Here is a 23,176-nt window from a genome sequence, read left to right as displayed (position 1 = left end):
TCCATCTAAGCCCTACCACTCACATAATGTCTGCAGATGCACTCAGGCAGGCCAGCTCTATTCATAGAAGCCGTCTGCTTGACCCCATTGGGCAATAACCACCCATCTCCATGAAAACTGAAACTCAACACACAGAGATGACCTAATCAAGATAATTTCTCCATCCCTGCTAACTTAGGTCCTCTTCAAAGCTCACCCAGCGGTAAATGCTCCAGTCCTCATATCCTCAACAGTCTCCTGGGCCTCAATCCAAGTATTTTTTCTTTCCTGTTTCTTCACCATTTTCTTCTTCACGGATTCTCTCTTATCCACATAGAAAACAGTTTTTACCATCTTAGAGGAAAAACAATGCTCTCCCTTTGACACTTCATCTCCCTCAAGCTATCTACCTCCTCTTTCAGCACCAACATTCCTGAAAGAATAATTGTGTCTTGTTCTTTGCAATTCTTTACCCTCCATCCACCTTCAAACCACTGGCTCCAGAAGACATTAGAAACCACTTTCACTCAAGGCAAAAAATGGCCTTCTATCCCTCAACCCAACAGACAATTTTTATTCCTCACTATATTAGCCTTGCTGCAATATCTGGCACAGATGACTACTGACTTCTATTTTGAAATTATTTTATTTCCTAGCTTCCAAGGCAGGACTGTCTCCCTGTTCTTATTCTCATCTTTAAACTCTTGTTTTCCAATTTTACTGGAGATTTAAAATATTTTTAAACATTTTAACTTAAAATACTATGTGTCTTCTAGGCTTAAACATCATTTCTCTAATTCTTTCCACACCCCTTTGAGTCAGACCTAGTAACAACACGTTCATTTTTTAAATGATAAAATATCCTTAAAGAGGTTGAATAAGTCTTACAAGGTAATCATTCAGAAGAGGCAGAGCTGGGACTCAAATCTTGGTCTTTTCTGAAACAACACCCCTGCTGTTAAGTACCACTCTGTCCTGCCTCTCCTTTCTCAAGCTTGTTGGTGACTTCTAGGTAGACCTCAGTAATTTTCTCTTCTCATCTTACATGTTTCCCTGTGCAATCCCAGCAATGCCCATGGGTTCATCAATTGCCTCCATGTTGATGTTCTTAAACCAATGAACTTCCATTCTAGGCGTTCCTTTTAAGAACCAAATTAATGTATTATCCCTCATGTTCTTTATTTACCTTTATCTTAACATTTACATGGTTTCATTTAACTTACAGTAGTATATGATTATTTTCCAGTAGGACAACAAAATCCTTGAGGAAACTATATTCTATCATCTTACATCCTCTCTGCCCAGCCTAGTGCCTGGCCCATAGATATTTAATGAATATTGAATGAGTGAATTACAGGATATCTAATGGCTGTCTGTGCATCGCTACTTAGATCCTCCAAAGCCCCATCTCCTACTTTGTCTATATCTCAAACTCAGGTTGCTTTGAACTATACTCTCAATCATTTAAGCTACTCTGACTCTGTCCTCCAAATTCCTTATCTCAGAGAATAATAATATCCAGCCAAAAATCTGAGTCTCAATAAGCTTCTTCACTCCCTTCCATATCAAATTGATCAAAACATTCAGTTAATTTACTTCCCAAATAATCCACAACCCACCTGCCCACTCCCAGGTATTCATGGTATCATCTATCATTCCATGTAGGACAATTGCAATAGTCTACTCACAGGCTTCCCACCCCTTCCAATCCATTCTGGACAATGTTATTGGGTTGCTTTCTTTATTTCTCTTTCTTTCTTTCTCTCTCTCTCTTTGTTCTTTGACTTGCTCAAAATTCTTCAAACTTCCCTATAGCCTACACAACAGAATGTACCTCCTTAATCAGGCATATACTAAGGCTCTTTATGATGTGGGCTTTGCTTTCTTGTCCAGCCTTCTATCCGTCACACCTCTCCTAATACATCACATTCAATAGTTCTTGGCTCCTCCCCTTCTTCATGAATTCCCTCCCACATCTTACTTCCCTAGAAGATCTTATATGTTCTTAAGAGTCTCGGTGCAAGGACTATATTCTCTAAGCAGCCCTTCCTATCTTCTCTACACAGATTTAAATAATCATTATAACTACTGCTTCACTTGTGTATTATTTCTATTTTAGTGATGATTATATTACAAAGTACATAATGACTTGTCTATTTCTCCATGAGGTTTGTAGAATGCTGAATGTTAATGTTCCATAATTATAGAAAAGATTGATGAGTAAGTTCTTTAGTAGTGATTTGTGGTATTTTGGAGCACCCATCACCCAAGGAGTATACACTGAACCCCATTTGTAGTCTTTTATCCCTCATCTCCCTCCTGCCCTTTCCCCTGAGTCTCTAAAGTCCATTGTATCATTCTTATGCCTTCGCATCCTCATAGCTTAGCTCCCACTTATGAGTCAGAATCTAGGATGTTTGGTTTTTCATTCTTGAGTTACTTCACTTAGGATAATAGTCTCCAATGTTATCCAGGTTGCTGCAAATGCCATTAAATCATTCCATTTTATGGCTGAGTAGTATTCCATCGCATATATACACCACAATTTCTTTATCCAGTCATTGATTGATGGGCATTTGGGCCGGGTCCATATTTTTGCAATTGTGAATTGTGCTGCTGTAAACATGCATGTGCAACTATCTTTTTGTATAATGATTTCTGTTCCTCTGGGTAGCTATCCAGTGGTGGGATTGCTGGATCAAATGGAAGTTCTACTCTTAGTTCTTTAAGGAATCTTCACACTGTTTTCCATAGGGGTAGTGCTAGTTTACATTCCCGCCAGCAGCATAGAAATGTTCCCTTTTTACCATATCCATACCGACATCTATTTTTTTTTATTTTGATTATGGCCATTCTTGCAGAAGAAAGGTGGTATTGCATTGTGGTTTTGATTTGCATTTCCCTGATCATTAGTGATGTTGAGCATTTTTTCATATTTTTGTCCACTTGTATATCTTCTTTTGAGAATTGTCTGTTTATGTCCTTAGCCCACTTTTTGATGGGATTGTTTGTTTTTTTCTTCCTGATTTGTTTGAGTTCTTTGCAGATTCTCAATATTAGTCCTTTGTCAGATATATAGATTGTGAATATTTTCTCCCACTGTGTGGGCTGCCTGTTTACTCTGCCAACTGTTCCTTTTCCTGTGCAGAAGCTCTTTAGTTAAATTAATGAAACAGAATAGAGAACCTAGAAATAAACCCAAAATACTTATAGCAAACTGATCTTTGACAAAACAAACAGAAAAATAAAGTGGGGAAAGGTCACCCTATTCAACAAATGGTTCTGGGATTAATTGGCAAGCCACAGGTAAGAGAATGAAACTGGATCCTCATCTCTCACCTTATGCAAAAATCAATGCAAGATGGATCAAAGACTTAAATCTAGGATCTGAAACCATAAAAATTTTAGAAGATAGCATCAGAAAAACTCTTCTAGACATTAGCTTTGGCAAAGACTTCATGACCAAGAACCCAAAAGCAAATGCAACAAAAACAAATGCAAATAGGTGAGACTTAATGGTTATTTTTTTCTCATTGACTGTTACAACAATCACATGGTGTGGGTAGTAATGTTTCCTTTAATGTTTTGACAGATGATATGATTGGTGAGCTTCATAGAAGGAAGCACTTGAATCCAGGTCTTGTGATCTTTAACCTCACATCATTTCCATTATATCCTACTACATTTGAAGCATTAAGCAACATTAAGCAGTCAGACTCATAGTATACCTTAAGCATTAAGCATTGAGAGCCAAGTGCACTAGAAAGGATTCATATCAGAGGGAAAATAAAACAATGGTAGAAGATAATTTGTTTAAAGCCACTCTCCTCTATGCAAAGAGCAGTCCACAGAATAAACCCAGTTGATTGACAACATGAATTCCATTGTATATAATTAAAAGCTACGTGATCATCTTCAAGTCAAGGTGGCTTGAGAACATAGAAAGTAACTACATTCAACTCTGCACTGAATACCTCTCTTCTTCCTTTGTCTCTGTCTCTGCACTTTAAGGTCATCTGTATGTATATAGAACAAAGATAATGGAAAGCATCTTGCTTTTGTATCAAGAGAACATGTGACATGATCAAAATGCAGGGTGAAGGAAACACGAATTTCATTCAAAATCACACATTTTCAGTTAATTCTTACTTTCCATCACTGAATTTTGTCGTTTGTTTTTATAATGATTAGATGTTTTGATGTTTTCTCCTAGCACACTTCCTTGTATCTAAGTCTTTATGTTTTTTTTTTAACAAAGGCAAGACAGGTAATGACTTTGTCAGTTTAAGTATGTGTTAGCTTTCTTTGTTAGAAAGGCTGAAAACTAAAATAGTAAAATTTTCATGGCTACTTACAGATAGTAATACCATGTGACACAATTCTGGATAATTATTTGTTCATGGAAGTCAGTGGGAGAATTTCCAAGAAAGCTTTTTAAGAAAGGAACAGACTCAGTTGCTGTGGCCCACTTTGCCTCTTTAGCTTTTTCTCCTTGTCTCTTCTGCTGCCTGAAAGGGAAAGGAAAGGCTTGGAGGCATGGCTGCCATCCTGCCACAGTGAGAACAAATGCTTCTTGCTCATGATGACAAAGTAGAAAAGTAGAAGGAGCCTGGGCCCCTTGTGACATATGTAAGCAACTATATTAATCCTGAACTCGCCTATTTAAGACTTATTATCACATGAAATAATAAATCTAACCTCCTATTTGTTTATCCATGAAACTGGATTTTCTGTACTCGCAAATGAAGTCATTCCTGATACAAATGCTCTTATGCAAAGAGCACTCTTTCTCTTTACAACTGAATAGGAGAGGATAAATTTCAGGACTTATCCAAGGTGTCTACTTGCTACTCCTTTGGAAAGTAAAGCAGTAGAACTAGATGAACTTGAAGAATTATTGAGACTACTTCTTCATTTTAGAATTTAGGAAATTAGAACTCAGAATCGTTTAGGAATTTTTTCAAGACCGCTCAACCACTGAAGTTTGAACAAGAGTCCTAGTATCCTAAATTCCACCTCGGTGTGCTTTTTTGTAACTCTGAAATTAAAGAGAACTTTTGACTCTGAGACCATCAAAGTCTTCATTAGAGCCTTGCTTATCATTAATATACTTTCGCAGACTCAAGGTTACAAAGTAGGTGTTAAGAAGGCTTACAAGAAAGATAATAATTATTAGGGGTGGAAAATCGAGCACATAAGGAAAATTGCTAATTAACCCAATATTTTTAAAGCCTATGGAAAAATGAGGTGAGACTTAACTGAAAGTGGAAGATAAGCTCTATTAGAGCACAGGCCTTCTTTGCTTTGTTTTTGCCTCTATTGCTGGTACCTAGAACAACTCCATAAATGTAGAGGATATTCCATAAATGTTAACTAAATGAAACAATTAATAAAGGAATGGCAAATAACCATATAGAGTATAGTTTTCATAAGACTAAGAAAAAAATCATCTTCCTAACATATAAAATATTTTAGGCTAGTTATACAGGAAGGCATTTATGACAGTTAGCAATTACATATATTGACTATGAGAAAACCGCAAAAAAGGTCAGAGAGGAAAGGAGATTAACCACAAAGGAATTTAACAGGCAGTAGATTGCTTAACAGTAACAATGGAAGACTGACCGTGGTGAACTAATATCTCTAAAATGCTGTGGGAAAATAGCCATTAACTTAACTATCATTCAAGAATGAAGACCAAAAAATAGATCTTTTCAAACGAGAAACAAAAACAAGAGAATATGCCATAACATACAATGCACTTTTTAAAAAGTACACTATAAGCAAATAAAATGATTCCAGCAGGGAGGGTGGAGATCCACTAAGGAGAAGGAGCAAAGAAAATGGTAAACACATGGTTATATCTAAATAAATACTATTTCAAACAATAATAATAATACTTGTTCTTAGAACTCTAAAAAGATTGAAATGGTGCACTAGCTAGCAATAACACTTAAGAGGAACTGGTTAGCTTTAAGCTATTCTAAGGTCCTTGCATTATGTGAAAAGATAATAAAGATAATGATTAACTTTAGACTGTGTTAAATCAATTACTAATGTGAACAATTTAAGGGTAACCACTAACATGGTAGAAATACAATGTGTAAACTCCAGGAAAATAAAGAGAAAATTTGAATTTAAAAATATTAATCAATTGAAATGGCAGGAGAAGGGAAAAACAAATTCCAGGTTTATGTGTTATAACAGACAGTGCATTAAAACACAGGCAGGTTGGAGTCAAGGCATGGGGAACAGATATACCAGGCAAAACCAATCAAAATAAACCTAGTATGGCTATTTAGTAACAGACAAAATAGGCTTTATGCCCTAAAGCATTCTTAGTGATATTTACCATGAAGATAGATATATATATTCTGTGTGTACATGTATATATATATATATGTGTGTGTGTGTGTGTATGTGTGTATATATATGTATATGTATACATATATACATATACATATATATACACACACACACACACAGAGATGCTATTATAGTCACTTAATGGCATAAGCTCCCCATATGTACATCAAAAATTGAGACTCACAAAGAAAAAGATTCACAAACAAAAAATAACACCAACACAGTGGAAAAAGAGAGAGGTTACAAACAAAGAGTTCAAATAAAAGAGCAGCAGTGAGGCACACAGTTATTTAGCATCTACCAAACTGATAATTCCATGTAAAAGCCCAATTTCATAATCAATTTAAAAATATACATTTAGCCATAATGTTTCCCACCCTTCAGTCTTCATTTTTACTAATAAATTAAATATATGCCTTATTTTAAAATGTAATGCATATTTACTTTTATAATTTCTGTTTTTAATATGGAAACTACAGATTTTATATTCTCTTCCTGTTTAGCAATTTTGATTTTGTTATGTTACATTCCTTTTGTTTTTGACTGTACTTTATCTACCTTGTCTTCTTTTCTAATATTCTGACTTCTTGATACTTGGCATGAGTTATTTTCCTGATGCTAGGCAGTATTTTGTTAATGTTAGAGTCAGGTTACCTGCCTTAGACATCATGGGTATTTCCTGTAGATTGTACTATTTAAAAAAATATATAGTCAAAAAAAGAGAAAACATTTTGAATGTTTATTGGCCTTGAATATTTGATAAAATATACACATTCTTGGGAAAATATAACTTATCAAAGCTGAATCAACAAAAACAAAACCTTTAGTATCTTTGTAACATTTAAATGAATCAAATCAATAGAAATATAGCTTTCAAAATACCACCAGGTCCAGAAGCAAGCAAGTTCTATTGAATATTCCAAAAGGAAATTATTTCAGTCAGTCTTATAAAAACTCTCCCAGAGAACAGAAAATTAGAGAATGCTTCTCAATTTTTTTAATGAAATCTGTATTACTTTGATTCCAAAACAAGATAGAAAAGTCTTATCTACAGAATTTTGTAGCTAAACTACAAAATTACAGACTAAAATTCAAAATCATTAACAAAATACTGGAAGCTGTATCCAACTATGTAATACAAATAAATCTCGTTACCTGATAGCCCAGACAATCCAGGGAGTAGGCAGTGAGGGTTTTCAACGGTGCCTGGGCTATGTGGAGTGGAGAGGCCAAGTGAGTAGAGATTAGAGATTCCAAAGTCCCTTCTATGTGTTATATCTCAGACCACCTTCATGACGGGTTTTCTCCCTCTCACTTTAAAGTCGAGAAAACCGACACTCAGCCATGGGAAATGATCTTCCCAAATTAGAGAACTAGTATGTAGTAGAGCTGGGATTCAAATTTCAGTCCTCTGATTCCATGTTTAGTTGCTTCATTTACACAGCCATATACTAGTAAAGGTTGAATAGCCAGCTCTCTAGGAAAAGTGCCCTCACTTGTAGCATTTGCTGATTTCTGTGGTATGAATGCTCTCGTGGCTGATTTCAGGTTACCGTATGATGTCACTGAACACAGAGTTGAGAAGAGATGCACAGAGTTGGCTCTAGGAGCCGGGGGACACTGGCTCCTGCACAGCACTGCCTGCCAGACTTAGTCCTGGTGCCTTTACTGTCTTTATTGATTCATTCTTGCTTGTTTACTGGAGATGGCTGGCTTGCTTCTTTAGCAGGCAATAACCCACAGGCATCATTTATTTAATAAATACTTATCAATTATCTATAATATGTCAGTCATTTTTTAGAACTAAGAGCAGTAAAATCAAAACAAAAATAAAAGCAAAATCTTGTCCTTGGGGGTAGATACCTTGTATTGTAGACAGAAACAGAAACTAAAATAAAAAGTAAATTACATAATATATCAGAAGGAGATAATTGCTATGGAGAAAATCAAGTGAGAAAGTTGGATGAGAATGACTGAATACTGTGTTTCGATTTTAACGAGCAAGGAAAGTCTTACTGGGAAGGTAATAAAGAATCCAGGTATGTGGGTATCTGATGAGGAGCCTTCTAGGCATAAAGTGGAGCAGATGCAAAGACCATGGGCATTATTGTCACTGACATATTGAGTGACAGCAAGGAAGATAAGCATGGCCAGTGAAGAGTGAGTTCTGCCAAGAATAAATATGAGATGAAGTCACAGAGGCAATGGACATATGTGTCACCTTGGGCTTTGAGGCAATTGAAGGTCTTCAGATTTTATTTGAAGTGAGGTTTCCATGTAAATTCTTCTTTATCAATCAGTTTTTTTCTTATATACCACACGTCATTTCAATATATAGTTTATTTCTTCCTTCCTTTAGGGAAAAGTTTTCTGTAAACTTATTTCTGTTCCATTAGTATGGGTCCCTAATTAAAGGAAACCAATTATTCCTATGTTGTATCATCTCTGCCTTCCATCTTTTTCATCAACTCTGTGATTATTCCTTGTCTCCTTTTTTTTTTTTTCTGAATTCAGAGTAATTATCTCAAGGATTTTCTCTTTGCCATTACTACATTCCTTTCCCTTTATGGTTAACTTGGTAACTCTGTAATGTTTTGCCTAGTTCTCAATTTTGTCTCTCTATTTCACTTTCCATGTTAACATTATTCTACCTTTTTTTAAAAAAATTCATCTTTAAGGCCTGTTTTATTGAATGAATCTTATTCCGTTTTTCTTTGACACTTGTGGGAAATCTGCTTCTTTTTCTTGGTCTGTGTTTTCTTCCAAACTGAGTCCATTTTGTTATGCCTGCTGCATCTTTTTTTTCCTTCCCTTCATCCTTCCTTCCTTTCTCCCCTTTTCCCATTTAAAACATTTTGCTTTAACACATTTGCATATTTGTCATGACTTTTTTTCACCTTGCTTATGCAAAATATGCAGAACTTATGAGCTCTAATATGGTATAAGTGAATTATCTTCCATTTCCTTCTCATCTTATATGGAATTGATTTGTCTTTTGCCACTCAAGCTATACTTTGAGGTCTAGGAACTGCTGTCTATTTACTTTTTTGAAGTTTCAGTGTACAAACTGGTGAGTGTAAGGGCCTAGTTTGTTGACTCATTAAAAGGGACATGAACTCTGCTTTCCCTTCCAAAATTCCATTAAAAATCCTGCACAGCAGCTCATTCCACCCACCATGGATGTAGACTCCTTCCATTCTCCCAGTTCAGCAAGGGACCAGAAAACTGCAAACCCTCACTGTCCTCTCTGCCTTTGCTCTGGTCTTATAGTGACAGGTAGGTGTTTCATACTTAAATATTTTTCTAATTTCCCAGTATTTCCTACTCATTTCATTGACTCACATCTCTCCACATTAAAGAATAGTGATACATATTCATAAGATTTTATTAATTATCATTCTTTCATTGGTATTGCTTCTGGCTGTTGGTCTGACTGTGGCTTAAACCTACGTAGAAACATTTCAAGTTTTTTCCTTGGCTTCACCTTTAGAAATATTTGTCATAAAATTTAGTATTTTTCCTGGTTTGATTGCTACTAGTAAATTTTTGGCTGCTTTTTTTTGGTTAACTTTTTAAATTTTATTTTGTTTAATATTGGAAAAATGTGTGTGACCCTGAATTACTTGCTGCCTTTACCCAGATATTTATTAATTATTTTTTACTAAAAGTATTTAGACAAGAAATTATAATATTATTCTATATAATAACTGCTGTATGTATCACCAGATAACCAGTGATTATTAGAGATGGTGGCTTCACAATTACTTTTATTACCAGTATAGAAGAATTTGAGAGATAAGTAATAAAGCATTACCCCCAAATACCTTGCATTCATAAGATGAATACCTTCTGGGACTCTGACATACAGTATGGTGACTATACTTAATAATGATATAGTGTATATTTGACATTTGTAAGAGACTAGATCTTCTGTTCTCACTACAAAATAAAAAAGGTTATTATGTGACATGATTGATGTGTTCATTAACTTGACTGTGGTAAATATTTCACAATGTGTATGTATATAAAATCATCATGTTGTACACCCTAAATATATACATTTTTGTCAATTATACCTCAATAAAGCTGCTAAAAAAGAAAAAGAATAGTGTTTGCCCACAGGTATTTCTCTTTTCTTCTTGTTTGAGAAGAATCTGTTGTGCTCAGGACTGGGAATGTGGATATACTGGGCCCCTATAATTGACAAAATAGATAACTGCTAAGCAACAGCTCCCCTTTCTCCTCCCCCTCAATCGCAGTGTTTCAAAACAGTCCAAAGGATATTTCTCATTACAATGACCCTCCTCATTTCCAAGTAGTGTAATAATACAGCAGATATTGCCTATCTATCTAAGCTATCTGATGGCCTCTAAGGCTCTTGGTCTAGTGTATTGGTCTGCTCAGCTTCTCAACAATTTCTCTTAACAGCTTATGAGCAAGGACAAAGAAAATAAGAGTGCGTAACTAGGCAGCACAAGGGAAAAGGAACTGTTTATTGAATTCAACTTATTAAAAAATTTTTCTCAATATCACTACAAAACTTTGAGGGCTTTTCCATGGGGTGTAGAGTGCATCTCCATTTGTCAGCCTTCCTGGTTTTAATAGGTGGTCTCTAGGTGTCTAGTTCTGAGCACATTCATCTTGAATATGAGTCAGTTAAACTTACATTTTTTGGTGATTGGTGAATATCTATTTAGTACTCTTGGCATTATTAGGCATCTTTCTGAAATGAGAGTTGCAAAATGGGCAATTTCCTAATCAGAAACATACAGCAGTAACTCCAGTTCTCATATCATTTCAGGTCATATGTTAAATGACAGGGCTGAGACCTCTCCACAGCACATCTGATACTGGGATCGATGAAGATCAGATGTGCAAATCACACTGGGCTCCGGAAAGCCCTAGACTGTGTCATTCAAGGTGGGAGGATTTGCTTCTCTGGTAAGCTGTGGAAAGATCCTCTGTGGATTAAGACCTTTCGTTTCTCTTGAAGGATGAATGGATATTATAAGTCCCAAGGACTCAATAAAACCTTTATAGCCTTAGTATAGCAGAGTGTCCGTCAGCCAATTCTGTGATTTTACTGTGTTTGTCTTTTGCAAAAATCCATGTGAAACCTCAAATGTTCCTTTTACAAGTTCTTTTGTTACACACACATGTTTTTGGTTAAATTAGTGGTGGTTCAATCTGGAAAAGATATCTGTAATTAGAGTCTTATTTTTGAAGTTTAAAAAGGGTGGGGGGAAGCACATATTCTATCAACTTTTCCTCACAGAAAAACTTACTCTATCTTCAAAAGCTGTGACCCAACACAGCAGTTTCTAGGATCCTCCAGAAGGAAAATTTTCACTTACTGCCATATTGTCAGAAAAAGAAGAGGCTTCTAAAAGTTTTAAAGAGTTTTTTTCTCTCCTCAAAACTCAAGTATGTACTTGTTAAATAATAATTCACGTAATTTGTAGAATGTGTTAGCTTTCAAGACCCATTTATGAAACCAGTAGTTTCACTTACGTAGGATAGGTATTATTATTATCATCATCATCATTTTTTTAAATAAAGAGAAGAGTAGAAAACGCATGTGCCCTGCCTTCTGTTGAACTAAAAGAGATAAGGTGAAAACTTAGCCTTGTGATGTAGAAAACTAATTCCTATTTCTCTCTCTTATGGATCCAAGCATCAAAATGTATCGTATGACAATGTCTCAACAGGCAGATGGCAGAAATATCACAACCCTAGCATTCCCTGAAATATTAGTGGACTACAGAATCATGCAGTCCAGGTAAAGAATCAGGCTACATTACAGGCTGTGCCACATTCTTAGCAACTGAGAAGGAAGATACTAGAGAAGGGGAACACAGGGGTGAGTTCTTTTTCTACTTTAAACAAGTCTTGACACAGCTTTTTCTCCAATTCCCAATATAACCATCCTGCCACTACTTCCCTAATACCATAGCTTGCCTAAGATTGATCAAGCAGAAAATGGGTATCTTACCTCTTAAGCAAAGGTAAAGAGTATTATTCTCTATGTTCTCTATGTCTCTGTTTTCTATGTCTTTATCTGGAGCATGCTCTTTCATGTCCTTTACATTTAATTCTTCAATTGCATAATAATACATAAGAAAAAACTAAATATACCCATAAGATTTTATTCTATGATAATATTTATAAAACTCAAACATATTTGAAAACATTGAAACTACTTTTTAAAAATATATGCAAGGTTGGCATCTGTTTATCATTTTTATAAAATATTAAACCAAATTTTTAAAGCAAGAGAAATATTCCTCTATTGAACTTACATCATAAGTTGAGATGAGCTATGAGGTTAATAACATTTACACCATGATGAAAATAAAGCTCTATAAAAACTCTCAAATAAATTTCTAATTTCAGAAATCCCTCAAATAACAGAATTGCATTTCTCAAAAGCTGAATCCTATTTAAGTGATATTTATTATAAAATACTGGTTATTATTATTAGTACAAGACTATATTGGCCCATAAACATATTTTTGTGGATATATTTTTTTTGTGTTTAAAGCAGGATTTCTCAACCTCATCACCATCAACATTTGGGTCAGATAATTTTTTGTTTCAGGGAACTATCCTGTGCCTTGTAGAATGTTGAGCAGCATCCCTGAACTCTACTCTCTAAATACCATGGGACCCTAAACATACACAATTGTGAAAATGAAAAACGTCTCCAGATATTACCAAATGTCCCCTTAGGGGTAAAATCATCTCCCATTGAGGAATAACTGGCTTACAGTATACAAGAATGCAGTAGTTCCAATATTCACTAAGCCTAATAATCTAACATGGAGCTACATACTCAGTTCACCAAATATTAAGTAAACCTCTGGCATATTCAAGGCACTGTGGGGGATTGCAATGATGAGTATAGCAATGTCTCCTGCTCAGAAGTATATAATCTCATAGGCAGGAAGAGTCAAGTACAATAGCCCCCCTTAGCTGTGGTTTCACTTTCTGCAGTTTGTTACTCATGGTCAACTCTGGTCCAAAAATATTAAATGTAAAATTCCAGAAATAAACATTTCATAAATTTTAAATTGCCATTGTTCTGAGTAACATGATGAAATTTCATGTTGTTCTGCTTCATCCCACTTGGGATGTGAATCATCCCTTTGTCCAGTATTTTCATACGGTATATACTACCTGCTCATTAGTCACCTAGGAGCCCTCTCAATTATCAGATCAAAAAAAAAAACAGCATATATAGGGTTTGATGATATCTGCAGTTTCAGGCATCCACTGGAGGTATTGGAATGTATCACCCATACATAAGGAGAAACTACTCTATACAAACAACAAGAACAAAAACAAAGTATGATAAATGATATAAACATATGCAACTTCATGAAATTAAGTAGCTGTTCATGCCTAGAAAGAGAATTGTTCACATAAAAATTGTTTACTAATAGTAGGAAGGATATAGTTATAATAAGTGGTAAACAAGAAAGAGTTTTTAAAGAGTTACTTCCCAGATACAATGGGAATACGGGCATTGGATAAATGCCCTCAGTCCAAATGGGAGAAATTGGCCAAAACAAAGGGGCTACAGGCCCCATGCAAGTCTCAAACCCAGCACGCCAATCATTAAATCCTAAAACCACAATAATCTCCTTTGACTCTATGTCTCATATCCAGGGAATGCTGATGCAAGAAGTGGGCTCCTAAGACTTTAGGCAGCTCTGCCCCTGTGGCTCTGAGGGGCACAGCCCCCATGGCTGCTTTCATGGGCTGGCATTGAGTGCCTGCAGCCTTTCCAGGTGCATGGTGCAAGCTGTTCATAGATCTACCCTTCTGGGGTCTGGAGGATGATGGCCCTCTTCTCACAGATCCACTAGGCAGACCCCCAGTGGAGACTCTGTGTGGGGGCTTCAACCCCACATTTCCCCTCTGCACTGCCCTAGTAGAGGTTCCATCCTTGCCCCATAAAGGCTCCATCCTTGCCCCAGACTTCTGCCTAGACATCCAAGTGTTTCCGTACATCCTCTGAAATCTAGATGAAGGTTTCCAAACCTCAACTCTTGCCTTCTGCACACCTGCAGGCCCAACACCACATGGAAGCTACCAATGCTTGGGGCTTGCACCTTCTGAAGCAATGGTCCAAGCTGTACCTTGGTCCTTTTTAGCCACTGCTGGAGCTGGAGTGGCTGGGACTCAGGGTGCCATATTCTGAGGCTGCACAGAGCAGGTGGGACCTGGGCCTGGCCCAGGAAACCATTTTTTTCTCTGAGCCCTCTGGGCCTGTGATGAGAGGGGCTGCTGTGAAGGTCTCTGAAATGCCCTAGAGAAAATTTCCCCCATTGTCTTGGCTACTAACGTTTGGTACTACTTTACTTAGGCAATTTTTTGCAGGAGGCTTGAATTTCTCCCCAGAAAAGGGGTTTTTCTTTTCTACCACATGGCTGGGCTGCAACTTTTCCAAACTTTTGTGCTCTCCTTCCCTTTTAAATATAAGTTCCAGTTTCAGACAATCCCCTTGTGCACACATGAGTGTACACTTTTAAAAACAGCCAGGTCACATCTTGAATGTTTTGTTGGTTAGAAATTTCTTCGGCCAGATACCCTAAATCATCTTTCTCAAGTTCAAAGATCTCTAGGGCAGGGACAAAATGCTGTCAATCTCTTTGCTAAAGCATAGCAACAGTGATCTTTACTCTAGTATCCAATAAGTTTCTCATCTTCATCTGAGACCACCTCATCTTGGACTTCATCATCCATATCACTATCAGCATTTTGGGCAAAATCATTTAACAAGTTTCTAGGAAGTTCCAAAATTTCCCACACCTTCCTGTCTTCTTCTGAGCCCTCCAAACTGTTCCAACCTCTGCCCATTACTCAGTTCCAAAGGCACTTCCACATTTTCAGTTATCTTTATAGCAGTACCCTACTCTTGGTACCAATTCTCTGCATTAGTCCATTCTCACACTGCTATAAAACACTACCTGAGACTGGGTAATTTAAGAAAAGAGATTTAATTGACTCACAGTTCTGCATGCTTAACAGGAAGCATGACTGGAAGGCTTCACAAAACTGACAATTATGGCAGAAGGTGAAGGGGAAGCAAAGACCTTCTTCACATGGCAGCAGGAGAGAGAGAGCAGGGGGAAGCACTACATACTTTTAAATGATCAGATTTTGTAAGAACTCACTCACTATTGTGAGTACAGCAAGGGGAAAATCCACCCTCATAACCCAATTGCCTCCAACCAGGTCCCTATTCCAATTTGACCTGCAATTTGGGTGGGGACACAAATCCAAACTATATTACCAGCATAACAGATAAAATCCAGGTTGGTGGACAAAGCTTTAGGTCTGCTGACCAAGTGGACACGTTTTCCTCCACATATTTCATCCTCTACAGAGGGGAAGCAGAAGAAAACTCTTCCGATCTGTGAAGACAGCTCTCAAAACAAAGAATGGTGAAGCTAAGCTTAGAATGCACACCAGCTATTATTCTGACATTCATCCATCAGGTAATTTATTCCATATCCTCAGTTAGAGAGAGTAAAGACATTGAAAGAAACCAAGAAAATCTCTCTTCATAGAAATCAGGAGTGAGGGAAAGACATACATCTCTAACCATCATAAAGTTAACTTGTTCTGTTTTCTTATTCTTAAATGGATGTGAAGCATCAGATTTATTCCAGATCAACTTTTGTGGACAGTGAACAAAAATGTATTTTTACAAAATACTATGATCTACAAAGTCATTTCATATACTTTTTTTTTTATTTAACTCTCACAAATTCATCAGGTGGTTTATTATTATATCTATTTACATGTCCTATCCATGGTCATATAACAAACAGGTAAGCCAGGAAGCTATGCCAAATCAATGGATTTTAAATCCAGGGACCCTATAAATATATACAACTATAATTTTTCTATATATGGTAACAAATCTAGGGCTCCTTGAGCTGCAGAGGGAATGTACTGAGCACCTTCTATACTCTTGTAACAGAGGTATGGACCAACCCCTTTGGAATGAATGAAGATTGAGGGAGGGCATCAACAGGATATACATTCCATCTGCATTTTTTGAATAAGTAGTATTTAATGAGGTCTTTCAAAGTAGAAGATCTGACAAGAAATCACAAAAGATGCTTGACTGGTGCTGAGGAAGATCCTGTAGAAGATGAAGCTGGCCAACTAGACTAGAGCCAGATCTTGAAAGTTCTTATATGACAAGTTAAAAGTTTCCACTTTATTTTAAGATTTGGAGTACCTGAAAGCCACTCTAGAATGTTTAGAGGAGGGTTGGAATAAAAAGAGACTAGGAATAGAGGGCTTAGGCAAGAGACTATTTGAACATGCCGGTGACAGCTGGTGAGTGGTAACAGGTGGTGAGTGGATAAGAGGAAAGAGACTGGACAGCTATTTCTGAAGAAGATCTGACAGTGGATTTGGGGGTGACTGGGTATGGAGAATGAGAGTGTTGAGGCAACACAATTCCATTATGTGGGGCAATTTACGCAGCAGGAGACACAGGTTTGGGCAGGAAAGGTGAAAGGAGTAAAATATTAGTTAGAATCTGTTAATATAAAGTCCCTAAAAGACGGGCAAGTTGAGATTTGCATGGAGAAAATGGAAACACAGGTCTTGAGCTCAGAGGAGGGCCCAGGTCTGGAAAGAGTGACTGGGGAATAATAACATCTCAACAGTTATTGAGCCAAGAAGGTGACTGAGAAGGAGCAGGTGGAAAACCATAAAATTACACTGTAAGAAAGTCAGTGAGGGTGAGGATGAGTGGGAGAAGGCTACCAGAAATAGTTAGGGACAAGAGTGTGGAAAATTGCAGAAATGCTAGGTAAGGTGAGCTCTGGGAATAAGCTGTCAGATGATTGCTTTTCATTCTCTCTCTTCCAAGCTTTGCCAAAGAGATCTAACATTCTCAATAAACTTATGTCGTTTCTCTGCAATACCATGGCTGGTTTTCTAAGTCAAAGTCCAAGGCCTGACATTTTCTTCATTCTGCAGAAGCTTCTTTCTTCTTTATTTAAAAATTAAAGAGCCATTTTCTCCTTAAATTGACATCAGTGGATAGGCAATTGTTCAAAATTCAAAACTATTTAAAACTAGTTACTTCCTAAGATGAATTCACCCATCTTAAAGGGAAAAAACACAATTCTTTAAAAAAACTCTTTACTACTATTTTTCTAGAAATGAATGTGTGGGTGAAAGTGAAAGCAAAAGTCAGACTATAATGGATTGAGAGTGAATAGAGGATGATGAAGTAGAGAGTTCTGAGGAATTTTTTGAGTGAAAGGAAGAAGCAATGATATAAGCCAGTAGCTATAGAGCATGGCAGACGACACTGAGGTGCATGCTCCTTTAGACAAGGAGAAAAAGTGGCTGAATGATATAAATGGTCATGACAAAAAGAGCTTTCTCAGAAACAAAAGTCCAGAGTTCAGAATGTCCCTCCGTAAGACCGTGTTCACAACTCTGGCCCCGTTCCTATTTAACTTGACTGTATTTGCTATTCTACTTAGACACTTTTCTTTAATCTTGTAATTCATCCATTATCAAAAAGACCAATCACCTATTCTCAATCACTTAGCATTAATAAAAGAAAATGCTGTGTTTAAGGCATTTTCTTTGGTGTAAAGAACTATATTTAAACCTTTCAGATTGAGTTCTATGCAGTAGAAATATAATAAAGTCCCTAAGGTAACTCATTACACTAAAAAGCGTTGTTGCTTTTCCTAGAATGAGCCAATTAAGTGGTTTCTTTAAAAGATGAATTTTAACAACCCTCTCCAAAGAGCTGGAGATGATCATTTGCCAAGTTACAAACATAACGGTGTTGAAGAGTTAAGTCACTGTGGCTTATACAATTTTTTAAAAATGCCTTTCTGGGGAAATTTGGGCCTAAAATTGGAGGAAATATATAGATCAGACAAACCCACTGAGAATGGAAGAGCCTGATTTCCTCTGCTTACTTATTCATAGATTCCCTAGCTTGCTTACTTTTTTGTTTTTGGTTTAAATTTGGGATCTAGCTACCTAAAAGTTTCCACAAAACACATTACTGATGTTTCTGTGTGTGAGAAAGATATATTTTTCCCTTCTGTTGTACCATCAACTTGGCTCCGCGTCTTGAAATTCAAAACCTCATCTACTCATTGTTGCTATGTTTTTCTAGTCCTATAATATAGCAGATTAAAGACTAAACCTGTGGGAAATGTGAAAATTAATCTTACTTGAAAAACAGTGAATTAAAAAGTACTCTGCTGAGCATTTCTAAAGCACAAAAACCTGTCTAGAATAATGAAACAAAAGCAGAAAGAATTGAACTCTTGAGAGATGTGGGTAATGTAATGAAAATAGCTGAAAATAGATGGAGAATGGAAACAGAAGAATGATACAGAGCTTAACCTTCTGTCAAAACATTCTGAATTCAATATGTCCCAACAACAAGCATACGAGACAGCAATTTATGGCCTGTTGCCTTTTAACGTTTTATTGTGTTGAATTAATTCAACAAGCATCAGTTGAATACCCACCAAACATACTCCAGTTGCACTGGGGAATTCAAAATAAAAATTTTTTTGGCCTTCAAAAATCTCCAAGCTAGTACATGCTTTAGGATTAATTTGTATTTTCATTTCCCTCTTGATTTGCTGTGCTAATTTTTCTGGTATTAAATGTGTACGTCAAACCCTTTTATTATTATTCATATATATATTATGATAAATCATTTATTGGCAAACATACTGCACATTGAGTTCCTCAAAAGCCCAATGGTCTAGGATGGTCTTCTTTGTTCTATCCAAGGGAACAGTGTGATAGGCATGCTTGAGGAATACATGAAAAAGAAAGAATGAACGACTGAACAACCGAAGAGAACTGAATTCAAAATTAATGTTAGAAATTCTAAGACAAGCTAAACACTTAAACATTGCTTATTGCCAGTGAAAAAAAAACTTCAATCAACTTGGTACATAAAATCCTACTTCTAACAAACTTTCCTGAGGCCAAAAAATATGTATTTAACAAACAGCTTTGCATTCTTCTTCCCATATTACATTATGTAACCAGAGGTTTCCAATATCCCCTTCAAAGACACTTTCTTGTGCGAATGAATTTCCAGAGTTGCAAAGTCAGCAGAGCCATGAATGTGTTCAAAAGATAGCTAACTGAAGCTGTGGTTTCTAGAAATCACTGCAGTGGTATATGACATTATTTTGAAAATTATTCTGAAAATAATGTATTACCAACTTACACAAATGAAACCAAAGAGAAACCATCTTCTCTCTGCCTCCAAGAAGCCATTCATCTTCACGTGAGGTGACCATCTTATCTTCCATTCTCCAGTTTTCATAACTCTTCCTGGGCACTGGAAGTAATTAAGAAATCTCCCCTTTCCTCTTGAGCAGGATTTCTGTCCCCATTTGGCCCTTATTAACTGCCCCAGGTTGCAACACTGAGAAAACTCACTCCAAGTCAACCATGTATAAACAAGAGCTGAAGATATTACTTAACTATAAAAAAAGATTTCCTGTCATGATTTTATGTGAGTTCATCTAGCTCTATTTATTACATTTCAGTAATACAGTCTTAAGACAGGTTTGAACCTTACAAATGGATAGATAGATGTACAAATAGACATATAGGTATTCTAAAATCTTTTCAAAGGCTTGATTGAGTAGTTAAATTTAAACAAATTTAATTATTCAAATACATCTAATGTTACTAACTACCATTCTATTATATTGAGCTGTGGGGCTTTGCTTACTATGGTCTGAATTTTCCGCAGAAGACAGACTCCTGGATAGAAGAATTGAAACTTGTTTCTGATATTTATTGACTTTTAGACTTCATTTCTGTCTTCACTTCTAGACTTCACATTCCAATCTCATACCTCAAGCAAAACTCCTGCTCCTTCACCCTTCCCACCAGCAAGCACATTATCTCACGAGAACAAGAAAACCACAGGTATCAAAATAGTACTATGGCTGAGAACATAGCTGGGTCAGCAGGAGCTGGGAGCAGCCTCTCCCTGTGCTGAGCAGTGAGGAAAGAGATCAAAGCCCATGCAACATCCAAGTAAAAGTTCCCACTAGGGGGTTTCCTGCACATAACCTTCTTGGTTTAAAATAACTCACCTGGGACCTGTAAAACAGCATTGCCTTTCCTACATTGCTTCCCTGAATACGAGGAGCAAAACACCAAGCTTCAAAGAAAGAAATAAGAAAAATTCTCAGGGTGCTTGGATCTGAGTATTAGTAGAAAACTACAAAGATTTATTAATTAAAGATAAATTTTCTTTAACAGAAACTATAATCAACAGAGCTTGGGAATCTTGTTACAAAAACTTTTTGGGGAAGCAAATATGTGTTTGGATTACAAGTCTTCCTCATTCCCAACCCCAGGAACCTGCCTGGAGAGGGGAGGTGGGAGAGATTGAATCTACCAATACTCAAACATGTTTGCTCTTGCTACTGTCGAAAATTCACTTCTGAGTCTTCTGATGTCCCTGGGTTTCAAGACACTAGTAGACTTTCAAAGCAGTTTCATTTTTACAAATGTTACCTTTTTCAAACCTAAGAGTTTAGGATATAAGATTTAAAGAAAGAAGTGTTATAATTGTGCATGAGACACTCCCTACTAAAGGTCACTGACTTCCCTTTACAAAATGGAATAGACAGACTTACTGACTTTAGCAAGGAAATCGATGTTTATTTTTCCACTCTGATGTGTTCCATGTATGTTTAGCTATTGCAGTGATGACTGTGTTCACCAGTGAAAACGGCTTGCTCTTCGTAATATCAAAATAATTTTTCAAGTGGTGGGTGGGGTTAATACAGCTCGTCCTGAAACTGACACTCCCGATGCTTTCTATCTGCCAACGTCGGCATGTGTTCAGGGCTCCTTTCAAACAAAGAGATTTCTGATTATAATCCTGAATTGTTATTGCCATGACTGACGCAAAAGGACATTTATTTTTATCCATGTGGTAGTTTTTTTAAAAAAGATTTCCAATGAAAATTCTGTTTGTGATTCAGAATGTACCTCACTGTGACAAATATATAGCACTTTGAAATTTCAATTTTACAAGCTCATTAAAAAATAAAGAAATTATTTGGTATACTTCCTTCTTTATTCTATCTACTTCTTTCTTATCTGAGAAAATAAGCATTCATGAGAAGAAAAACATCATATTTAATTAGAAGGGTGTCAAAGCAAGATCATACCCATTTATATTTATACATAGTACCTCCTTGTTTGTTTAATGAGTATATTTATCAGTGTTTCACTTAGTAGGCAGTTCTCATGCCAATTTGTGTGATTCTTTACTTTATTTAATTACATAAGGGTTAGTATAAGAACATAATTAGAATTTAAGTAATCCATTATCTTAAGTGAAACAACTGAGATACGGAAAGATAAATACTACATGTTCTCATAAGTGGGAGCAAAATAATGTGTAGACATGGACATAGAGTGTGGAATGAGAAAGAAACAGTGGAGACTCAGAGGAGATACGTGTGGGAGGGAGGGTGGGAGGAGTGGATGATGAGAAATTACTTAATGGGTACAAAGTATGTTCTGCCTGTGATGGATAACCTAAAAGCCCTGACTTCACCACTACACAATGTATGCATGTTTGTACCCCACAACTTTATACAAATGTTTTATAAGAATTTAAATAATCTTATCATTATTTGTTTAGACTGTTTCAAATGTAATAAGTCTTCCTTTTCTTCCTTAAGCATGAGCAGTCATTATTTGATGGTCCTACTACATGGGTGGCAACTATAAAATAGTGGGAAAGATTTCCTTAAATCTACAAGAAAATAGTTCCTTGACTTCATCAAAATGACACATGCTTATTAAGTACCCTAGAAAAATAGAAGATGGATTGATAAATATAGAAACAATTTTTAAAATTTACTTTTCAATTTTTAAATGGGCCACTCTGTGGGTGTCGGTTTTAGCAAAATCCACAAATGCAAGTGGGAGAGACCAACTGTCCAAAAACAGGAGAAATGTAAGGCATACAACAATTATAATCAGTGGTTATCATTTCTAATAAACCTGTGTCCTCAGTCATTTTATGAGCTCTAGCGATAGAAGCTATTCTGTAATAAGGGAATTTCAAGGTCAAGAGCTTAATTGCTTCAATGTTCCATTATTTAACAACACACAATGTTTTCTTCCCTTTCTGACATTCTTCAGCAGACTTATGACATTCTCAGTTCCCTGTCACAAAAGCAAATTTAATTAGTGTTTATCCTCTCTCTTGAGTTTACTCTCCAGCATAAGAGGTGAGTAAAAGATTCTGGAACCTAACAACTTCTAGTGAGTTGGCATGAAAGGCAATTGGTCATTAAAAGCCAATATCTTGGAGCAGAGGTCTCTGCTGAAACAGCTTCCCTTTTTGGGTCACCTCAATTAAAAGTTAATTCCTCTGCAATACACCTAGTAAGCAGTAATCCACTCTGGTTTATAAATTGATGTAAATCTGAACTGATGGTCCTACTTCCTGTGTTTAGAGAAAGGTCAGGGGGACAATTACAATGTCAGCCAACTTTGTCTAATCTTCCGATTTTTAACAGGAAGTCTGCAGGAAATGTTAATTGGGAAAATATAATGCCTGACAAAGAAAGTCTTCTTCAGACTATTTGCCCTTGCCCTTCCAGTTCTCAGAGGCTCCTATGGAAATACATAGTAACAATTCAAAATAGGAATTTCAGTGTCCCACTGATATGCTGAGCATCCATTTTAGTTCTTAGACCAGCTGAGAGTTCATTTTGACAAGAACATCATTTCTCAGATACCACATGTTTTGATCCAA

The 23,176-nt window shown here is 36.4% G+C and overlaps 1 long non-coding RNA gene across 1 annotated transcript in view; it reads left to right on the top strand.

Annotated features, from left to right (window-relative positions):
* LINC02149 (long intergenic non-protein coding RNA 2149) overlaps nucleotides 1-23,176 on the top strand; it is a 74,915-nt gene that overhangs the window by 11,647 nt on the left and 40,092 nt on the right. Inside the window, exon 2 of the long non-coding RNA NR_109944.1 lies at nucleotides 11,147-11,265. This is a non-coding gene — a long non-coding RNA (long intergenic non-protein coding RNA 2149). The remainder of the gene's footprint in view (nucleotides 1-11,146; nucleotides 11,266-23,176) is intronic.

This window comes from Homo sapiens, chromosome 5 (genome assembly GCF_000001405.40).
Source record: "Homo sapiens chromosome 5, GRCh38.p14 Primary Assembly".
Taxonomy (NCBI): Eukaryota; Metazoa; Chordata; class Mammalia; order Primates; family Hominidae; genus Homo; species Homo sapiens.
This window is presented reverse-complemented; position numbering and strand designations above follow the sequence as displayed.